This window comes from Homo sapiens, chromosome 15, assembly GCF_000001405.40.
Source record: "Homo sapiens chromosome 15, GRCh38.p14 Primary Assembly".
Classification (NCBI taxonomy): Eukaryota; Metazoa; Chordata; class Mammalia; order Primates; family Hominidae; genus Homo; species Homo sapiens.
The window spans coordinates 66,174,713-66,197,265 of record NC_000015.10 but is presented as its reverse complement, the minus strand read 5'-3'; the positions used below and the strand labels follow the sequence as shown (position 1 = coordinate 66,197,265).

The window sequence follows — 22,553 nt, the reverse complement described above, 5'->3', positions numbered from 1 at the left end:
CAGTATTAAGATTTACTAATAATTTCAAGGACATAAGTAATCAGGAAGCACAAATGAGACAGACAAAGGTCTGGGACCACTACACATCTCACCAAGCCTTTTTTCCTCACATCAGAACTTACTCTGCCCAGATTTACATATGAAGTGTCTAAGAACTGTATGTGGCTCCATTACTTACACAGAAGAGAGCTATTTTAGTTTTGAAAAATCTCCAGCATATACTCAGATAGTTACATAGTTTATGTGACAAAAGGGATCCATGCTCTGTAAATGTGTAGATTTCCATATTTATTTACCATAAGCAATCCTAGACACTCATATAAACGAGGTACATCTGCCTTAAAGAATTCTACAGATAAGGACTTACTGTTAGCAAACACCATTGGTTTATTTTTAGAGGTCTGTCATCTGTCTTTAGCATGTTTACTAGGGGATTTGACCAGTCATGTTTCTTTCCCAGGATTCCCCCACATTCCCCCTTAACCATTTCCTTTCAGAAGGGAAACCACTTTGAGCCATGATACACCTACAGTTGCCACAGGCAATAGTTTCTGGTCTTAGTCACCTTAATTCCTGGTTGAAAGTAGATGGAGTGAATGCCACACTTCAGAGAAGTCACAAAAGAGCCGTTCTTCCCACTCTAAACCTGTCTGCACCTAAATAGGTAGAGTGACCTTTCTAAACAGAAATCTGCTACAGGTCTCTTCCTACCCCTGCTTAAAACTTTCAGTAGCTCTCGTCACACTTAGGATAATATCCCAAATCCCACCTCACCACCACCAACTTTTTTTTTCTGAGACAGAGTCTCACTCTGTTGCCAGGCTAGAGTGCAGTGGCATAATCTCAGCTCGCTGCAACCTCTACCTCCTGGGTTCAAGTGATTCTCCTGCCTCAGCCTCTCGAGTAGCTGGGATTACAGGCGCCCGACACCATGCCCGGCTAATTTTTGTATTTTTAGTAAAGACGGGGTTTTTGCATGTTGGCCAGGCTGGACTCAAACTCCTGACCTCAGGTGATTCACTCGCCTCAGCCTCCTGAAGTGCTGGGATTATAGGCATGAGCCACCACGCCTGACCCCAAATCCTGAATATGGGCCTGCACCATGTACCACCTGCCTGCTTTCCCAGCCTCATCTCCCAGCACTGGTTCTCCCCCGGTTCCAGCCATACTGGCCTTCATTTAGTGCTCTGAGTGCTCTGTGTGCCCTCCTGCCTCAGGGCCTTTGCACATACTGTTTCCTCAGCTTGGAAAGCTCTTCCTGCCACTTACCCCGCTCTGGTTAACTCCTACTCGTCCTGCAGTTCACAGCTTGTACAGACACCGCTTGAGCCTCACTTCACATCCTCTCCCCACCACGTCTTACTCCAGCCCCTGCTGTGGTGACCAGTTCCACACAGGCTTTGACTAGCTTTGCACAGATGCAACCTGATAGGGCCCCACCGCGGCTCATTCCACATACCTCTTGCTTCCTGTCCTGGGGCTTTTCTGACACAGGTGAGAGACCTCTGAGGGAACCTACATGCTAGTGTAGAAGTTCAGGGGTTAACACCAGCAGTGTGGCTGTCCCTAGCCAGTGGGGACAGCAGTGATGGATAAATGCTTCCCCGTCTCATTTCCCGGATGGACCTTTTGGAACCCTCCTTAGGAGTCCAAGTAAGATGGAGCCCAGTTGCCTGCAGCGCTGGCCTATAGCTGTATTTGCTCTCCCTTCTTCTCGGTTCCTCTCCTCCTGAACCTCTCTCTTGCCCTGTGGGATCACTTCCCAAATAAACAACCTGCACACATACCTTTGTCTTAGGTTTGCTTGTGGGGGAACCCAGGCTAGGACACAACCCCGATGTGACTTCCTTAGGGAGACCTTCAGTGACCCCCCAGAGTCCCTGTTATCTGCTCTTACTGTTATATATCCCTGAACTTTTATGTCTTAGAATGTTGTTGTGGACTGATGGTGTCCCTCAAAACTTCAGATGTTGAAGTCCTAATCCCCAATACCTCAGAATGTGATTATATTTGGAGAGAAGGCCTTAAAAAGGTAAGTAGTATAAGATTAGTTCATATGGGTGGGCCCTAAATCCAATATGACTGGCATCATCATGAGAAGAGATTAAGACACAGACATAGAGAGGAGATGGGATCTACAAGCCAAGGAGAGAGGCCTCAGAATGAAACCAGTCCCATAGGCACCCTGATCTTGGACTTCTAGCCTCCAGAACTGTGAGGACATACATTTCTTTCTTTTGTTTTTTTTTTCAAGGACAATGGACATAACTAGACCACGTGCCACTTACGATCTAGCAGGCTAACCCAGGCTTAGCCTGGTTGGCAAGAGCAGCAAGTGACGACAAGCCCAAATGCACAAACGGGGTTCAAAACTTGTCTTTGCATTATGTTTGTTATTTTTTTTAGAAACTACATTAATTTTTAATTTTTATGTTAGTTATTTTTAATTTCATAGGTTTTTGGGGGAACAAGTCATGTTTGGTTACATGGATAAGTTCTTTAGTGGTGATTTCTGAGATTTGGGTGCACCCGTCACCCAAGCAGTGTACACTGTACCCAATATGTTGTCTTTTATCCCTCCCCCTCCCCCTCCCCCTTCTTCCCTGAGTCCCCAAAGTCCATTGTATCATTCTTTTTGTTTGTTTGTTTGTTTTTTGAGACGGAGTCTTGCTCTGTCTCACCCAGGCTGGAGTGCAGTGGTGCCATCTTGGCTCATGGCAGCCTCTGCCTCCTGGGTTCAAGCGATTCTCCTGTCTCAGCCTCTTGACTATCTGGGACTAGAGGTGTGTGCCACCACACCCGGATAATTTCATATTTTTAGTAGAGATGGGGTTTTACCATGTTGGCCAGGCTGGTCTTGAACTCCTGACCTCAGGTGATCCACCCACCTCAGCCTCCCAAAGTGCTGGGATTACAGGCAGGAGCCACCATGCCCGGCTCATTCTATCATTCTTATGCCTTTGTGTCCTCACAGCTTAGCTCCCATTTATGAGTAAGAACATATGATGTTGGGTTTTCCATTCCTGAGTTGCTTCCCTTAGAATAAAGGTCTCCAGTTCCATCCAGGTTGCTGCAAATGCCATTATTTCATTCATTTTTGTGGCTGAGTAGTCCATGGTATGTATACCACATTTTCTTTATCCACTCATTGATTGATGGGCATTTGAGCTGGTTCCATATTTTTGCAATTGCGAATTGTACTGCTGTAAACATGCATGTGCAAGTATCTTTTTTTGTATAATGACTTCTTTTCCTCTGGATAGATACGTAGTAATGGGATTGCTGGATCAAATGGTAGATCTACTTTTAGTTCTTTAAAGACTCTTCACACTGAGGAAATAAATTTCTGTTTGAGCTACTTGTTCTGTGGTATTTATTACATTAAGCAAAGTAGGTGCAGACCCTAAACTCATGGAGCTTACAGTCCTCCAGGAAAGCAATATATTTATAACAGAATAATATAATATAATATATGGCTGTATATTAGTTTGCTCGGCAGCCTGAGCAAACTAATATACAGCCTTCCCTTGGTATATGTGGGACATATACTGTTCCAGACTCCCTCGTATACCAAATTCCACACAAACTCAAGTTCTGTAATTGAACCTGCAGAACCCACGTATACAAAGTCAGCCCTCCATGTCCTTGGTTTCACATACCACAAATACTGTATTTTTGATCTATGTTTGGTGGGAAAAAAATCTGTGGGTAAGTGGACCCTTGAAGTTCATGAGTTAACTGTAAATGTATTATAGTTAGTACTTATATACTTATCTAATTATTCTATTATATTGCTCTCCTAGAGGACTGTAAGCTCCATGAGTTTAGGGTCTGCACCTACTTTACTTAACCTTGTACCTCTTGTGCTTAACACAGCGTCTGGCACTTAGTAGGTGCTGAACAGATTTCTGTTGCATGAATCAATGAATGAAGTCGAAAGCTTTTGAAAGGGTCCAGGCAGTCACTGAGCAGCTATATGAACACAAAGGAGTCAGCTTCAGTCTGAGCCCAGACATCTAGAGGGAGGATGTGAGCACAACATGTAGACTCATAATGGGTTTGGAGTCAAAGAACAGGATTTTTTTCCATAACTAGAAGTACCTAGGAGTCTTCACAAAATGTTAAAATGGTATATTCGGCATGGGTTCTGCCTTTGTATACTGACAGTTTGTTAACACATGGTACTAATCTGAAAACAGAAATGGATTTAAGGATTTATATCGATCCAGGGATTGTTTGGTTCATTCCAGTGAATATTTCCCAATTTAGGGAAGATTGGGATGTTTGGGAATGTCCTTGGTGCTGCCTTGGTGCTGACCTATTCCTCTCCATCACACCACTGCCACTGCCATGTTGCCAATGAATAGCTAGTACCAAATTATAGAATCATTTGATGTTGGTGACATCACAGACGGAGGCAAAATGATATAGTGCAAAGGGCGCCACGCCAGGAATCAGAAGATCCTACCTATTAGCTGATGATTTTAGGTGAATCAGATTCACAGTAATGCTGGCTCCTCATCTCCAATAATGTTGCTCTTCCTGCCTTTATGGGAAGGCTGAGAAGCCTGCCTAGTATTGTATATAGTGGTGGTTAAGGGGCAAATCCTGGCTCTGTTACCTTCTAGTTCTGTGACCTTGGGCAAATTATGTAGCCTTTCTGAACCTCAGTTTTTCTCATTGGTAAATTGGGGTAATTATAAAACCTATATCCTAGGCTCATTATGATGATTTTATTTTATTTTATTTTATTTTATTTTATTTTATTTTATTTTATTTTATTTTATTTTATTTTTGAGATGGAGTCTTGCTCTGTCACCCAGGCTGGAGTGCAGTGGCATGATCTTGGCTCACTGCAACCTCCATCTCCTCAGTTCAAACGAGTCTCGTGCCTCAGCCTCCCAAATAGCTGGGATTATAGGTGCACAACATCACACCTGGCTAATTTTTTTGTATTTTTGGTAGAGACAGGGTTTCACCATGTTGGCCAGACTGGTCTCCAATTCCTGGCCTCAAGTGATCTCCCCGCCTCGGCCTCTCAAAGTGCTGAGATTACAGGTGTGAGCCACTGTGCCTGGCCATTATGACGATTTCAGCATAATGCCTTGTTCAGAGTAAGCCCTCGATATTTGTTGAACTACCATTTATTTAGTAGGTCTTTTTATTTTTCATTTATTTATTTATTTTTGAGACGGAGTCTTGCTGTGTCGCTCAGGTTGGAGTGCAGTGGCGTGATCTCGGCTCACTGCAGACTCCGCCTCCTGGGTTCAAGCAATTCTCCTGTCTCAGCCTCCTGAGTAGCTGGGATTACAGGCGCGTGCCACCATGCCCAGCTAATTTTTTTTTGTATTTTTAGTAGATACGGGGTTTCACCATGTTGGCCAGGATGGTCTCGATCTCTTGACCTTGTGATCCACCCACCTCGGCCTCCCAAAGTGCTGGGATTACAGGCGTGAGCCACCGGGCCCCGCCTAGTAGGTCTTTTTATTAAGATTATAACCCAGGCATCCACTGGGGTCCCCCAGGCCTTTGAAATCAAGATAAGACAGTGTCATTCCCATGCCCTCCTCAAGGGGGCATCTGAACCGGGTTGATGGCTTGCTCTGAGGCCGCTGTGATACCAGGTACTCTCAACTGGTCACCCCTCATCGCTCCTGTGCCCCACCACATCTTGCCTTCCTCTCCCCTCGGGGGAAAGCAGATGAGTGCCCTGCATTGGCACTGCCTCAGTGCTGCTCCGTCTGCGGTTGCCAGACTTAACACCCCCGCAACCCCGACCCTCAGGGTCCAGGTCCCCCAGACAATATATCAAAGATTTTCTTCCCCCAGAGGCATCCTGGTGCCAGCTGTTAAGATAATGGATTTTTCCACCCAACTATGTGATGCAGAGCATCCATTGAAACCCCTGTATAGAAGCTTAGTCAGGAGGGACCTTAAAAGCCGAATCCTTTGTGCTTTGGCCTTGAGAATGTGTCGATAATCAATTAAATGGCCAGCCCGGAGAGCGGCCCTCCCTCCAGCCCGAGCTCAGACTTCACCGTGGTCCCCATTGCAGGATGGGATAGCAAAGTAGGATTTTTGCTGTTTATTTCTTTTGGCGGGGGGAGGGATATAGTTAAAATAGTGAATCTACTGTGTTCCTTCTTCAGAGGCAGCCTTCCATCTTAAGTCTGGCCTGATATCGGGGGAGAAACTTGCTTTTCTTCCATCCCTGGAAGTCCAGCCGGGCTGTGTCCTCACCTCCAGCAGTTTCTCTCCAGGCTGCGGTGTTGTAATAGTCTCCCCTGTGAACACTCCGTGAAGCCTGATGTTAGGTTGGAATACAATTGCAGCAGGAGGGACGATAAATAAGCTAATTTATTTTATCTCACCTGCTTGGAGTTGGGGTCTTTTTTGAACTGAAACAAGCAAATTTATGCAAATGACATGCAAATTAGGCCCTTCCTGGACTAATAAAAAGGAAATTGAAGCCCTGGGTAGTGCCCAGGGCCTGACACAGCATAGAGTGTATTGTGAATCTTAGTGTGCTGTGGGGGGTGAATGGAGGCGCCAGGGAGGGCATGTGTGTCCCGAGATTCAGTGGGGTGAAGGCTGTCAGGTCACCTCTGGAGGTCTCAGGTGGGCAAGGATCTCAGACAGGTCAGGCATTTTGAGGGGTGCTATCTCTTGGCCACCTACAAACCCTCTTCCTCCACTCCTTTCCCTTTCTACCTACCAGGGACCTTGCTTGGTTTAGCCTCAAGTGTGTCTGAGGAGGACCTCTGGAAGGCCCCTGCCCCCTCCTCCTGTTTCCTTCCTTGGTCACAAAGGGCTCAGTTCTGCTCTTACCAATCCCCATAGACACTCTACATCTTTCCTTGGACCTGGCTTCTAGAAAAGCTCACACCTGCGGTCCTAGTGACTCAGGAGGCTGAGGTGGGAGGATCGCTTGAGGCCAGGAGTTTGAGACCAGCCCGGGCAACATAGCAAGACCCCCACCTCTACAAAGCAATTTACAGAAAAGAAAAGCCCCATTTAGTGTCTACCCTAAATCCTTCCAACTGCAGAATAATCCATGCTATTGTGTTGTATCCTAATGGAGACAGATTAGCGCAGAAGTCCTTAACTGTGGCTGCACAACTGGAATCACCCAGAGAGCTTAGACATGCCGAGATTCGGATTTGATTGCTCTGGGGGCCCATATGAGCTTCAGGAGTTCTGAAAGCGTCCTGATGATTCCAGTATGCAGCCCATTTGAGAACTACTGGCTTGACAGGTCACTGGGCTTTATACAATTTATTTTTTGGAGACAAGGTCTAGCTCCATCACCCAGGCTGGAGTGCAGTGGTACAATCATAGCTCACTACAGCCTTGACTCCTGGGCTCAAGTGATCCTGTCATTTCAGCCTCCTGAGAAGAATACGATTGCTTTCGAGTGGGATTTAATGCCCCTCATCTTTCCCCTGTTGCTCATTGGAACTCTAAGGCCCCATTATTTGAGCAACTACTAAGTGCCAGGGGCTTTAGATATCTTGTCCCCCGCAAGCCTCTCAACAGCCCTGTGGGAAGTAGCATCTCCATCTTTTCCATGAGGAAACTGAGGCTCAGAGAGGTGAGGTTTCTTTCCCAAGATCACTCAGCAGGGAAGCAGCAGAGGCAGGATGAGACTCCAGTGGTGCCCTCTCCTGCGCCCCCTCTCATTGTCCTTCCTGGGGATTAGCCCAGCAGAGCTGAGAGGGCTCCTGCAGGCCCCAGGGTTGCAGGGCTCCAGGCCTGGGTTTACTGCTTATCACCTGTGTGACCTTGGGCCTCAACCTCAGCTTCCCCATGTGCGCAATGGGGATAACAACGCAGGCCCCTCCGGCAGTCATGAGGATTAAAGAAAATGAGCAGGTGCTCTGTAAAGCATGAAGTGTGATACCCACATTCGTTATGTTTATTACATGTCCCCTTCCCGCTGGCATCTGTCCCCCTCCCCTCAGCCTCCACCCCACCCCAGCATGCTGAGGGGTTTTGAAGCTTGGATTCCTTGGCCTCCCCTCCCTAGTGCCAGAGGATTCTGCTTAATCCTCCGTGCTCCGCAGAACACAAGTGACTGTCTCCCTGGGAGAACGGGGCGGTAATTAGGTTAAATAATTTAAAGTAACTTTTAATTTTTAAATAATTCTAATTTGCATTTGTGCAATTTACTTTCCTTCTCTCCCCATCCCTCCTCCCCCATGGCTTTCCTTGTATTATTTGTTTGTTTAAAGTTTTTTCTTTTGCTTTTTCCTGGATAACCAATTTGCTTCAAATGGCAACTAGCCAGCTCCACTCAGAATCATCACAGATTGTAAGGCGAAGGTAGGAGGCAAAATCTGCTGACTGGGAAGCATCTGAAAGGCAACTTTGCCCAGCCCTGCAACCCCCTTTAGGAAAACAGGATAAAGAAAAAAAATTGCACATGTGGTTAACTTTCGATTTTCTTTCTGCAAGGGTGTCCACTCAGTGCTTGGTACCTGGTGCTCTGTGGGGTGCTTGATGGAGGCTAGGGAAAACACCAGATGGCTGTCTAGGCTCACTGGGTAGACAAGGGCCAGTAGGTGGAGGGGAGGAGAAGGCCAGGAGTCTGCATACTGGGTTCAGGTACTGGTATCTACTGGTGCTCCCAGCTGCAGGGCCTCAGGCAAGGTGGACCCTCCCTCTGGGCCCTGGGGTCCCCATCTGCAGAGAGGGGAAACCAGAACCAAGCCAGTATGGGGCTTCCATGAGCGTGTGTGCGGGAAGGTCTAGCAGGGTCTGACCGGTGGTTAAATGCCTTCCACTGTGGGATCCCTGATCTGTGAGCAAAGGGAGTCAGGGCCTTGGGGCAGACATAGAGAGGGCTGTAACCTGGCAAGGTTTTTTTTTTTCTTCCTTTCTTTCTTTTCATGTTATAAGTGTTCATAAAATTTTATTTTTTTTGAACAATTTTTATTTGGAAATCATTTCAGACTTACAGGAAAGTTACAGGAAAGATAAAAACAGTACCAAGAATTTATATTCTTTACCCTTCTCTCTCTCATATATATATAGATCCCCAGTGGTTCTCAACAAGAAGCAATTTTTGTCCCCCAGGAGACATTTGACAATCTCTGGACAATTGTGTTGTTTCAAATGCCTGGGGTAAGGATGGGGCATGGGGGGGTGTTACTACATTAGTGCATAGAGGCCAGGGATGCTGCTCGATGTCCTACAGTGCACAGGACAGTCCTCCGGCTCCCCCCAGCACAGAATTATCCAGCCCAAAACGTCAGTAGTGCTAAGGTTGGAAGTGTGTGCATGCGTGTATACTTGAACTGCTTGATAGTTGCAGACGAGATACCCCTTTATCCCTCAACATTTCAATGTGTATTTCCTAAAAGCAAGGGCATTCTCTTCCATAACCACCGTTCAGTTATCAAAATCATGGAGTTCACATTGATACAGGGAAGCCATAGGTATGATGCCGGCTGGCGGATCCTCAGGAAGCACGTGGGACTCTTCGTTAAGGATGCTGGAATCGTACATGGAAATGGACTGAAGCTTGAGCTCTGGGCTGTTGAGATCAAGCCCCACGACCCTGGCCAATTTTGGCATTTTTCTCTCTGTTCCATTGCTCCTCCCCTCCGAGGGTTGTGGATGAGGGGAAATGAGTCCCAGGTAGGAGAGACCGTGCTTTGCGTGTGAGTACACAAGACTGCCGTAATGCCACCAACTCCACCCAGAGCCTTCCTGCTGGAATGAGAGGTGGGGGTGTGAGGGGCAGCCTCTCTCCTGGTGGTTCCTGGTTGCGACACTCCAGCTGTGGCCAGTCTCAGGGTTGTCGACAGGACTTCCACCCTCAGAGGCAGGCCTGGGCTCAGCCACTGAGCCACAGAGAGCAGGTGGGTGCCCCAGTGGACAGGGAGCTGGGCTCCCCTGTGTGTGGAAGAACATGACAGGTATCTGGGAAGGCCTGCTCTTTCTGTCCTTTCACAGAGAGAGGGATGGGGGAACAAAGGAGCTGGCATCAGTGAAGACAGAGAAGTGCTTGGCCAGGCGTGTTCCTAGATTCCAATCTCTTGAGAAATGCTTCCCTTTCCCCAGGAAAGTCCTTTGTAACCTCCACATTGGAATTATCCCAAAACAATATGTTTTAAGATTTGGAATTGGAAAGAAGGAACAAACATTAACTGCTTTCCATGTACCATCACTCTCATATATTTCATCTTAGTTCATCCTTCCTTGCATTTTGAGAGATAGATCATAATTAACACATTTGTTAAGAGAGGAAGCTGGGGTTCAGAGAGGTTAAATAATGCACCTGAGGCCACACACAGCTGGTAGGCAGCAGAGCTAAGACAAAATTGTAGATAGGATTCACTTCAAAGCCAGTGCTGCCTCTAGTTTAAGGCCTGGCTCAGCCATCAGTAGCTCTGTGACCCTGGGCAAGTTTCTTGACTTTTCTGAATCCTAGTTTCCCCTTTTGTAAATGAGGATCATCATGTCTGTTTTCATGGCCAAACAGGACAGAGAGAAAACCTGTCTAGACCATCTCTCAGTTAGATTTTGTCGTTAACACAAATGGTATTTGCCTCTGCATTTGATTCCCTGTCCATGGGGTGAGTGGGTGGAGGCTCAGCAGGGGTGATTGACTTAGCTGGATCAGGACCACTCGGTGATGGACACAGCCCGGGGCTCGAGAGATGGAGACAGGGAGTGCTCCCATAGCTAGACATCTGTCAGGTGCCTTTGCTTGAGGATGATCTCCTAATATATGTAGCTGGCCTGTTTCCTGTCCTACAGTCTCCTTTCTGGAAACTGTCTTGGGTGAGCTCTAAGCCCTCAGAGAATGATGCCAGCTCCTTCCCCACAGGGCAAATTCCAATGGCTTGGGGGCAGAGAAGGGATTCCTCTAAGGCTTGAGGTCCTGGCACCCCAGAGAGGGCCCAGGGGCTGCTGGCCAGTCCCGGGGCAGACAGACCACTGCTGGCTGCCCAGCTCCAAAAACTGCTCTTCTTCCAAAAACTCTAGCCTCCTGGGCCACACTCCAGACCCCAGGGGAAGCTCACCATGAGTCACCCTCTCTGCTTCCCGGAGGGTCTATGCTGTTAAATTCCTCCTCTTTTCCAGTGACATCTAAAGTGATAGAGAAGCCTGAAAATTATGGGGAGTGGTCAACCTGGGTCTGGGGCTCATGGGCATCCATTCCTTTCCATGTCCTCATCTGTCTAGGCGAAGCTGAACCCTATGAAGGAAGGTCCTGGGGCTGCCCCCACCTCTCCCCAGTAGCTGCTGAAGTGGTCCCGATGCCTCAGTAGGATTCAGGCAGGGAAATGATGAGCAAATGCTATGGCACAGAGAAGGGCAGGAGTGAAGGCAACTAGCAGCTTGGAGCTCCAGACCCTCTGAACTGTGTGCCTGGCTGTGTGCTTGACTTTTTAAGCCCCTGCCTGGCCCTGCCTCTTTAATTCCTAGGACTGCCCAGGGCTCTGAAGTTCTGACAAAGACCAAGCCTGCTCCCTGGCTCTGCTTCTGGTGTTCTGGTCTACCTGGTGCCTGGCTGCTGGGTGGGCATCTGACCCACTGCCCCCTGACCTTTGCCATCCTGATGTCGCTGCTGCCTGACACCTCCCCTACCACCTCCCCACACTTTGGGGTGACCTCCTCCATCTCCTGAGTCTTTGACAGGGTCTGGGGAGCAAGTCCAGAGGTTTGGTGGACTCACATGCTCAGGCCAGTGCGTGTGCCCTACTGGAGGGGATTTTTGTCTAAATCCAGATTGTCCTCTGACACTTATCTTCCTACCCTTAAGGCACTGCCAGAGTTTGGGATCCAAGCCCAAAAAGGAAATGATTATATCCAAACACAGCAGTGTTGAAATTGTGGAAAGAAAAAAAAGAAAAAAAACCCCACAAAAGCAAATGTGCTATTTACTTTATGCAAAGTGGCTTTGAGAGGAATGGTAAGGATTAGGGTAGACGTGAGGGAGGCAGGAGTTCCTGCTGGAACAGGGGCGGGTTGTGGGTCTTCTCTGCAGAACTTGAGGCAGCAGGGGCTGGCGGGGCAGTGCAGGGTGGGAGGAGGGTGCAGGGAGCAGGGGTTGTAAATGAGCTGCCGTCCCCACATTCTAGAGATGTCATTGCTAAGGGATGACCATGGCCCCTTTGGAGGATTTGCTAAGCATTCTTTCAAGAAACGAGTATGTATGGGGTACATCCTGGGTGCCAGGCACTGTGTTGGCTGCAGAACAGACCCGGTGGCCTTCCTGGGGAGTACTATGCAGTGTGAGAGACAAGCAGGAATGAAACACTTGTGTAGGGGGCTGCATGGGACAGATGCATGCAGATGGAGTGAGTGCTTGGAAGGAAAGGAATATGGCTCTAGGAACACGTAAAGCAAAGGAGCCTGCCTTGGTTTGGGTGAACTGGGAAGCAGGCGGGGAGAGTCCTGAGGGAAGGAGAGCTGAGCTGGGATGGAGGATGTGTAGGAGTTCACCAGACAAGAGAAGGGGGTTGGGGGTGGGAGTTACAGAGAGAGATCCTGAGCAGACGGAAACACGGTGCTTTGGGAGAACTCCTAGAAAGTCAGCGAGGCAGGGGTGGAGAGTGAGAGGAGAGGGGTGGAAAGAGGGGTTGAGGGGGAGTAGGTGGGAGGCACCCAGGGCAGGGTGCACATTTTGGTCTTTATACCCTTCCATCTTGAAGGATTTTAAGGTAGGGGGTGGGCAGGTAGCGATGGCGGGGGTGGTTTGGGGTTGTGGGGAGAGTGAGGAGGTGTGAGGTAGCAGTGATGTGGTCAGATCTGTAATTTAAAGAGATCACTCCGACTGCTTTGTGGAGAATGGATGGGGAATGGAGGGTGAAGATGAAATCGGGGCACGGATTCTTAGGGCGGCCCAGGTGAGATGGTGGGAGCTGTGGAAGAGGGAGGGGGATGGGTTCCAGCCCTGGAGACCACAGGCTAGCTGAAAAGCTGCTCAGCTCAGGTTGAAGTGGAAACAGGCATCTTCAGTGTGGGATGCGTGGGGAGGAAGGCCACCTAGATTCTTTTTTTGTTTTCAGTTTTGTGGAGGTATAATTGATGCATATTAAACTGCACATATTTGAAGCATTACAATTTGATGAGTTTTGACATATGTATACACCCAGGAAACCATCGCCATAATAAAGATAGTGAATATATCCATCACCCCCAAGAGTTTTCTTTGTTAATTCATCTGTCCCCCAGCCTGATGTCCAGGCACCCACTGATCTGCCTTTCATTTTTATATATTAGTATGCATTTTCTAGAAGTTTATATAAATGGAAGCATAGTTTATGAATATGTACTCTTTTTTTGCCTGTCTTCTTTCATGCAGCATAATTATTTTGAGATTCATCCACACTGCATATAGAATCTTATTTGGACTTTGCTGCTCAATTTATATCTTGATTAAGTCTCCTGAGACCTTGCAGCGCAAGGTGAGGTCCATGGGACTGCGGCATCTGCATCAGCTGGGAGCTTGTTGGAAGGGCACACCCTCAGCCCCATCCCCACTGCCCAGCCCTCCTGACTCAGAATCTGCATTTTCACAGGATCCCCGATCCCCAGGTGTCTGAGAAGCCCTGTCCTAAGCTCTCTGGACCTCACATTCTTTCCTTGTCTGTGGACTTCAGGTGGAGGGAGTTGAGTCAGTTACACTTAGTTAATAACTCATTGTCATGAACAGCTTTTGTTTGGCCTTTCTTTTGCTTCGTGGCATCCGTTTTCTTTTTTTTTTTTTTCTTTTTGGCAGGGGGGTGTGGGTGGCACGGGGTGTTGGTGGCAGGATGGAATCTTGCTCTGTTGCCCAGGCTGGAGTGCAGTGGCGCAATCTCGGCTCACTGCAACCTCCACCTCCTGGATTCAAGCGATTCTTTTGCCTCAGCCTCCCGAATAGCTGGGACTACAGCCGTGAGCCACCATTCTTGGCTAATTTTTGTATTTTTACTGGAGACAGTGTTTCACCATGTTGGCCAGGTTGGTCTCGAACTCCTGACCATGGGCGATCCTCCCATCTCAGCCTCCCAAAGTGCTGGGATTACAGGCGTGAGCCCCCACGCCCAGCCACCGTGTGTATCTTCTCCTTCCCCTCTCCTCACTCCCGCAGACACCCACTCTGAAGTGTTTGGAATATGTTCTAAAATATGCAAGTAGTGTATCATTGTAAAATATGTAGTGTCATTCTGTGTGTGTGTTTTAAATTAACATACATTTTATTGTGCTACAAATCTTCCATTTCAGCTTTTCTCACTCAACATCGCGTTATTGTGACCACCCATATTGCTCTGCATACATCCGATATGCGGCTCTTTACTGATGGTGAGTTCTCCATAGTGTGTTTCCACTGCCTGCTACTCGTCATGGGTGAGGGACACCTAAAGATGTTTCCAGCTTCTCTCCACCATAAACGGCTTCATCCCCGTGGGTGGAACCTGAGTCTGTGTCTTAGTAAAAGAAGTGTCTTAGACTAAATGACCCATGTTGCCTGCAGCCCTAACTCCCATCGCTTATTTTGCAAGTGGAAAGACCATGGAGACTTGCAGGCCTGCAAACTGTCAGGCAGAAGATCTGAATAGTTATGTTTTCCTTTGAGTTAAGTTTGTAGCTGACACCAGGGATGGTCTGAAATCCTTTGATAGTCAGAGTCCCTGAGACCTTCTCTTGTCCCCTTGAGCTCCTGAAGTGCTTTAACTTCTGATTTTTTTTTCTCCCTGCGAATAATACACCAGCTGCTCCAGGGAGCTCAGTGTTGCACCAGTTTGCAGGTCTGTTTAAAATCCCGATTCTGCAAACTCCTCAGAAGGAAGTGACAGTTCTTACTCCTGTGTGATCATTTATAGATCAGGTAATGATTTCCCTGTTGGCTTGACAGTTCTATTCTTGGGACAGCTGGTCAGCTTGTCAAATACTGCTGATGTTCCCTCTGGTGTGGGCCCCGAGGATCAAACACCCACACACCGTGGTTCTATCTGCCATTCCTGCTTACCTGTGGCACCTACAAGTGGCAGGAAAAGTTACTTCCTTCAGAGGAATCTCAGGGCTTGTGAGAGGATGGGGAGCAGGCCCGTGGAGGGGTATGAGGACTGGCAGACTCTATTTGCCGTTGGTCCCGAGATCATCAAAAGGCATGTCTATCTCCTTCCCTATTCCACCTGCTGTTGTCCTTAGAGGGGGTGCCTTGCAGAGGAGGAGGCTGGGAAATATGGGAGGAGTTCCACTGTGAGGGAGGGGGCCGCCCAATGACTTTTCAGAGGGATTCAGCAACTGTTAATGAGACTCTACCAAATGCCAGGCTCTGTGCTGGTTTGGTGGGGCTTGGGCAGAAGGTCTGGCTGGTTGCCCAAGGGGACATTCCTCTAGGAGAACTTCAGTGGAGCCCTTCCTCATTTAGGAGCAAACAGATTAGTATTCATGGAACTCACAGGATGGGAGGTCAGTTCCTCTGGACTACTGTGAAAAGAACTTTGCTCTCAATTACCAGGGCTGATAAGCGGCAGAGACACAGCGCCCCTCCCCCAGCATTGGCACTAAATAAAAATTTAATTAAGAAAAATTAGTCTATGCCTGTGGTTCCCAAGGGTGGTCTGTAGACCTGTGCTAGACTGCAGCTAACTTTCCACAGATGAGATTAGGAAAATGAGAACAGAGAAAGTGAGTTCTTCATGAAGCTAAACATATTCACTATTAAGGACTATTCTTTCTAAGATTGGCATCCTACATCCCTGGTATTCAGGAAATTGGGATGATAGTAGAAGTTATAGTAGAAGAGAATAGAAGATGACCGCAAAGTCCTTATGTGGCTAAATAAAAAGCTGGCAAATTTCTGCCAGGCTCACTAAAGTGTGAATGTGTGTGCATGCGTGTGTGCATTCAAGTGTGCATAAATCTTACTGTTCTGTGAACCTCCAAATTCTGAAAAAAAACAAAAACAAAAACCTGAGCCTGGGAGGTTGAGGCTGCAGTGAGCCGTGTGAGCCGTGATTGTGCCACTGCACTCCAGATCCTGGGCGACAGAGTGAGACCCTGTCTCAACAACAACACAAATTCTGTGAATCTTCAAAGTCTGATAACAACAGGCAACACCAATCAGACATTGATTCTTAGCTTCTTCCCCAAATGGATAACACATTGTATCTAATTTTTGCCTAGGTAATATGTTACTTTGTTTCTAATAATAACAGATTTTTGTTAAGATAAAAATCTTCCCTTTGGAAAAGGAGCAAATGCTTAAAATTAGGTTACTTTAGCAAACATTTACATTTTAATGAATATATTCTGTTAAAAATCGCATAAGATGTAAATGAGCGCAGCCGGAGGAGCTGGTGAGTGGTCAGCTGAGGGCAATTGAGATGCAAAAGGCTCTTCTGTTGTGGGCACAGGGTCACAGCCAGGGCCGATTAGGGGCCTGGACCAGGCAGCCCAGTTCCTTTGCTGTATTTAAATGGAGAGGCAGAGTGAGAATGTAATTAAATTGTGGCCGTAGAGCTAGACAACTTAACTAGAGCCCCCTCATGCTACATGCTCCAGAATTTAATTTTCCAAATAAACTCAGTGTGGCTTTGATGCCCGGGGAGGATCAATAGAATGGAAATTGCTTGCAGTTTCCCCTAAAGTGTTACAATGGATTACCGCTCTCACATTTCTCCTTCATGCTCCTTTTTTTCTGCCAGAGAGAGCCTGGTATTCATTCTAGGCACATACTGTTTAAGGAAACAGAAAAATAAATGAATAAAAAAGGAAACTACAAGCCACTGTCAGGAGGGGGATGAGACTGTGTCCTTCCGCCTGTGAGGCGAGGGCTCCTGGGTCTCTGTGAAGGAAAACAGCATCACCATTTGGCTCTATGGGGCTGGCTCAGGATGGGGTATGGGGAGGGGTTGTGTGTGGCATTGAGGTTCCCTGAGAAGGGACGTGGAGGGTCTTTGGTTCATCCGGTCACCTTCTCAAGAAAGGCACCCAGGAAGGTGACCAAACCTCAGGTCCTAGGGGTGCAGCTGCCTGGAACCTCACTGCTTGCCCATCTGCTCTGGAGTCCTGGGGAATGTTCTAGCTCCTTCACATTCTCTCTGAAGAGTGGGGTCAGGGCACGGCCCTGGCTACCAGTGGCTTGCTTGTTCCTCTGGGGCTCAGAGTGCAGAAGATGACTGTCAGTCACAGGCTATTTGGAGTTGTAATTTGAATTTTTCAACTGTGGAGAACTTTACAGAGTCAGAACTCTCTCCTTTTTTGTTCCTTTGGGAGATACCAATGAGCTTATAGAGTTGGCAGGAAGAAGGGACTCTTGGGAGCAAGGTTTCTGGATCATAGGTCTCCCAGCTATCGAGGGCTTGGTAAACCCTTGCCTGGTTCTGATGGTGAGGACAGGCCAGGACCAGGAGAGTAGGAGACAGAGCAATCCAGCAGTCCTCTGTTAGGCACCGTTTGTGTGTCGGAGGGTGTTAGGCACTGTGTGTTGGTGGGGGTGGGGGGGTGGTGGCAGGGGCAGGCTTGCAGAGATAAGACAATCCTTGTCTTCAAGGAGTTCATAGATTAGATAAGTATCCACGTGGCTTTAATTCTGGGTGGGGTAACATGGGTTTGGGAACCTGAAACCCGGTTGAGTACAATCTCCTTATTTTGCATTTGGGGAAACTGAGACAGGGAGGTAGGTTTTTCCTGGTTGCACTCTCTACATTCTCGCATGCTGTTCCTCTTGGCCTGAGCAGGCTCAGGGACGTGGTGCACTGCAGGGTGAATGGAGATTCAGAGCTTCACAGGCGGAGAGCCTGTTCCTGAAGGTCTGCGAGTTGCTTTGGGCTCTTCTGCTCCCCTCCTCCCACGTGTGGTAGAAGTTCCAGAATCACCAACCTCCAGCTGGGCGGAATGGCTCATGCCTATAATCCCAGCACTTTGGGAGGCTGAGGCAGGTGGATCACCTGAAGTCAGGAGTTCAAGGCCAGCCTGGCCAACATGGTGAAACCCCATCTCTACTAAAAATACAAAAATTAGCTGGGTGTGGGGGCGTGTACCAGTAGTCCCAGCTGCTCAGGAGGCTGAGAAGGGAGACTCTCTAGAACCTGGGAGGCAGAGGTTGCGGTGAGCTGAGATCATATCACTGCACTCCAGCCTGGATGACAGAGAGAGACTTCATCTCAAAAACAAACCAAAACAAAACAGAGTCACCAACCTCCTAGAGCTGGGGCTGTGATGCTTCCCGGGCTGACAGATTGACCCTGTTTTGAGATATCCGGAGAGTGAAAGTACTGGAAAATTAATTAGCAGCAGTAGACACTGGCTACCCGGAGGCTACAGGAATTTATGGGGTTTTTGTTTCTTTTTTGTCATGGAATAAGTTTTCAGCATGTGTGTTGATTGATTTCCTGCTAAGTTCCTCTCTGTCTTAAAAAAAATAAAACAACTCTCAGAGTTTGGAGTCCGTTGAAGCATGTTAATGACCTTTTTTCCGAATCACTTCTTCTTGGTATTGTGTCTATCCCCCACCCCCACTCTCCTTCTCTCTCTTTTGCTTCTGACTTTCAGACAGGCAAGGGGTTGGTCCCTCTGAAGGGCTGGGACCCAGGACCCGGGTGAGGCAAGCTGAATACCTGGGGCTGAAACATTTAAGGAGGCACTCACTCTCAGGGTCTGCAAATGCAGGGTCAGCATCTGAGAGTGCGGGCTTCCTTAAATGCTGCCCTAGGCACCTGCTTGTCTTACCTAGGTCCTGGATTTGCTCTCCTGACTGCTGTGCATGCCACATTCAGGGGAAGAACCAAACAATATCTGGGGAATTCAGGTGCTAAAACCTCATGGACAGCAACAAACAGAGCTGGCCGTGAGCTAAACAGACCAGGGTACACCACTGCAAACAGGTATTAATAGGAAGAGCAAGTTTTCATTTAGAGGCCTCATGTCCTGTGTTAACTGGGATGGAGCTGGACAACTGCCCAGCGCTCCCTTCTCTGGCCTGTTTGGTTCCTGAGGCAGACCAGAGAAAAGCCCTCAAAAGGGTAGTGAAGAGCCAGGTGCAGTGGCTCACGCTTGTAATCATAGCACTTTGGGAAGCCGAGGAAGGCAGATCGCTTGAGCCCAGGAGTTCAAGACCAGCCAGGGAAACATCGTGAGATTCCCTCGTCTACAAAAAATTAAAAATTAGCAGCGCATGGTTAGCCTGTAGTCCCAGCTATTTGGGAGACTGAGGTAGGATTGCTTGAGCAAAGTGGCGGTGGGGCTGTAGAGGCTGCAGTGAGATGTGATAGTGCCACTGCACTCTAGCCTGGGCAATAGAGTGAGACCCTGAATCAATCAGTGAAAAAGAAGGGCAGGGCATGGTGGCTCACACCTGTAATCCCAGCACTTTGGGAGGCCAAGGCAGGCAGATCGCTTAAGCTCAGGTGTTCCAGACCAGCCTGGGCAACATGGCGAAACCCCGTCTCTACTAAAAGTACAAAAATTATCTGGGCCTGGTGTCATGCATCTGTAGTCCCAGCTACACTAGGGGCTGAGGAAGGAAGATCGTTTGAACCCAGGAGGTTGAGGCTGCAGTGAGCTGTGATTCCGCCACTGCACTTCAGTCTGGGTGACAAAGTGAGACCCTGTCTCAAAGAAAAAAAAAAAAAAAGAAGAAAAAGGCAATGGAATTGGGGAAGGGGGCAGACAGGGTGCTGTGCTCTGAGTTGCTTTTTGGAGCTCACGATACTTACAGTGCTTTGGTGGAGGTAAAGTTAAAAAAAAACAAAAACAGCCGTTACTAATTTAAAATGTGCCGTTCCCCTCATCCCACCCCCTGGAACCAGAGGAGAGGAATTATTGAATATGTGACATCGGAGGAGAAAGATTACTGTGCATATTAAGCAAGGAGAAGAGTGATTGCTGAATACATGATGTAAAAGGAGATAGTCACCACAAATTAAACACAAAAAATTCAGTGGAAAATAATTATTGTCTATACATTATAGGCTTGACTTATGGTAAGTTTTCTACTTTTTAAAGCCTCTTGTAATTTCTCGATAACCCATTTAGCTGTCTGGTTCCCACTACCCCACCCCATCCCTGCCATGCATCTACGCTATCAGAGCAAAGTTATTTTCTTGGCTTTTAACTCCTTGTGGGGATTTTCCCAGCCATATATATGAATAATTTGGGGGAAGATAAGGACCCCAAAAGGACCTCTGGGGTTTTCTGAGCTCCCTTTGGTCATGTCTGCAGAAATCTCCCAAATCCTGGAGTCCCTAAAATGTTCTCTGACTCTTTCTCCTCTACGCCCACCCAAGGTGTAGTATCCTTGAAAGGTGGGAGTTACCAGGGGTTAGATCAAATGGTAAGGGAGGGAGTGGGCTGGCCTAGGCATGGCCTGTGAACTTTGTCATTGCTTGAAGCTTAAGATCTGTGGGGAACTTCTCTCAGGTGCCAGATGATTGTTAGCTTGACTGTTCCTGTCAGGATCTGGTAGGTGGCTGAAACACCCAAGGCCATCTCTCAGGCAGACAGAACCCCTATCCTGTGGTCATCTGGCCCAGCTTCATCCTAAAACCATCTGGGAACCTCCCCAGAGCAGAGGACTGGAGTAAACGGGCTGGCTCAGCAGCAAGAAAAAATCAGCAATGCAAGATGAAGCGCTTTCCAAAAACAAAGTTTAGCTTCTAGACCAGAACTGTCCAAAGGGTCCTCTGCAGTGATGGAAATGTTTTCTGTCAACACTGGCCATTGCAGTAGCCACTAGCCGTGTGTGCCCATTGAGTTCTTGAGATGTGGCTGAGTCACTGGTGTGACTGAGGCTCTGAGTTTTAAATTTTATTTATTTTGATTAATTTAGATCTAAATAGCTACATAAGGCTACTGTATGAAAGAGGGTATGCCTGGCAGACATCTCCTTTATCCCCCCTCCACCCCAGCCTCCCTACCCTCCATATCTTGGCTATTGTGAACAGTGCTGCAATAGACATGGGAGTGCAGGTATTTCTTCAACATACTGATTTCCTTTCCTTTGGATAAATACCCAGCAGTGGGACTGGTGGATCCTATGGTAGTGCTATTTTTAGTTTTTTGAGAAACCTCCATACTGTTTTCCGTAATGGCTGTCATCATTTACATTCCCACCCACAGCTTGTAAGAGTTCCTTTTTCTCTGCATCCTCATCAGCATTTGTTATTTTTTTATAATAACCATTTTAACTGGGGTGAGATGACATCTCATTGTGGTTTTGATTTGCAAATCCCTGGTGATTAGTGATGTTGAACATTTTTATATATGTTTATTGGTCATTTGTGTATCTTCTTTAGAGAAATGTCTGTTCAGATCGTTTGCCCAGTTTTTAATGGGATTATGTGTTTTTGTTGTTGTTGTTGTTGAGTGCCTTATATATTCTGGATATTAGTCCCTTGTCCCATGAATATTTTGCAAATGTTTTCTTCAATTTTATAGATTGTGTCTTCACTCTGTTGATTCCATTGTTGTGTAGAACTTTTTAGTTTGATATAGTCCCATTCGTCTATTTTTGTTTTTGTTGTCTGTGCTTTTGAAGTCTTCCCCATAAAATCTTCACCTAGATCAATATGCTGCAGTATTTCCCCTATGTTTTCTTCTAGTAGTTTTATAGTAATGGGTCTTACATGTAAGTCTTTAATAGATTTTGAGTTGATTTTTCTGTATGATGAGAGATAGGGCTCTAGTTTCATTCTTCTGCAAATGGATATCTAGTTTCCCTAGTACCATTTATTGAAGACAATGTCCTTTCCCCATTGTATGTTCTTGGCCCCTTTGTTGAAAATCAGTTGGCTGCAAATACATGGATTTATTTCTGGGTTCTCTAACCTGTTTTATTGGCTTATATGTCTGTTTTTATACCAATATCATGCTTTTTTGGTTACTATAGCTTTGCAGTCCATTTTGAAGTCAGGTAGTGTGGTGCCCCCAGCTTTGTCTTTTTGCTCAGGATTGTTTTGGCTCTTCAGGGTCTTTTGTGGCTCCATACGCATTTTCGGGTTGTTTTTTCTATTTCTGTGAAGACTGTCATTGGTATTTTGATAGAGATTGCATTGGATCTGTAGATTGCTTTCACCATTCTTATTTAACATAGTACTAGAAATCCTAGCTAGAGATAGGCAAGAGAAAGAAATAAAAGGCATCCAAATTGGAAAACAGGAAGTAAAATTGTCACTCTTTGTAGACAATGTGATCTTATATATAGAAGAACCTAAAGACTTCACCAAAAATCTCTTAGACCTGATAAAAAAATTCAGTAAATTGGCAGGATACAAAATCAACACACAAAACTCAGTAGCATTTCTATACACCAATTACAAACTAGCTGAAAAAGAAATCAAGAAAGCAATCTCATTTACAATTGCTACAAAAAAATACTTAGGAGCAAATTTAATAAGGAAATGAAAGTTCTCTACAATGAAGACTATAAAACACTGATGAAAGAAATTGAAGAGGACACATACAAAAAAGAAAGACATCTCATGCTCATGGGTTGGAAGAATTAATATTGTTGAAATGACCATACCACCCAAAGGTATCTACAAATTAAAGGGACTGGGGGTTTTGACTCCTTTTGGAATGATCTATGTCAGTTCCTCAGAGCAGCT

The 22,553-nt window shown here is 46.9% G+C and overlaps 1 protein-coding gene across 14 annotated transcripts in view, besides 1 other annotated feature; it reads left to right on the top strand.

Moving 5' to 3' along the window:
* MEGF11 (multiple EGF like domains 11) overlaps positions 1-22,553 on the top strand; it is a 358,452-nt gene that overhangs the window by 56,485 nt on the left and 279,414 nt on the right. The window lies entirely within an intron of this gene.
* Positions 16,115-16,771: an enhancer, noted in NCBI's record as "OCT4-NANOG-H3K4me1 hESC enhancer chr15:66472833-66473489 (GRCh37/hg19 assembly coordinates)". NCBI's record gives its function as "activates a minimal SCP1, AML or CMV promoter by ChIP-STARR-seq in primed H9 embryonic stem cells {active_cell/tissue: H9 hESC(primed)}" and the evidence as "EXISTENCE:reporter gene assay evidence [ECO:0000049][PMID:30033119]".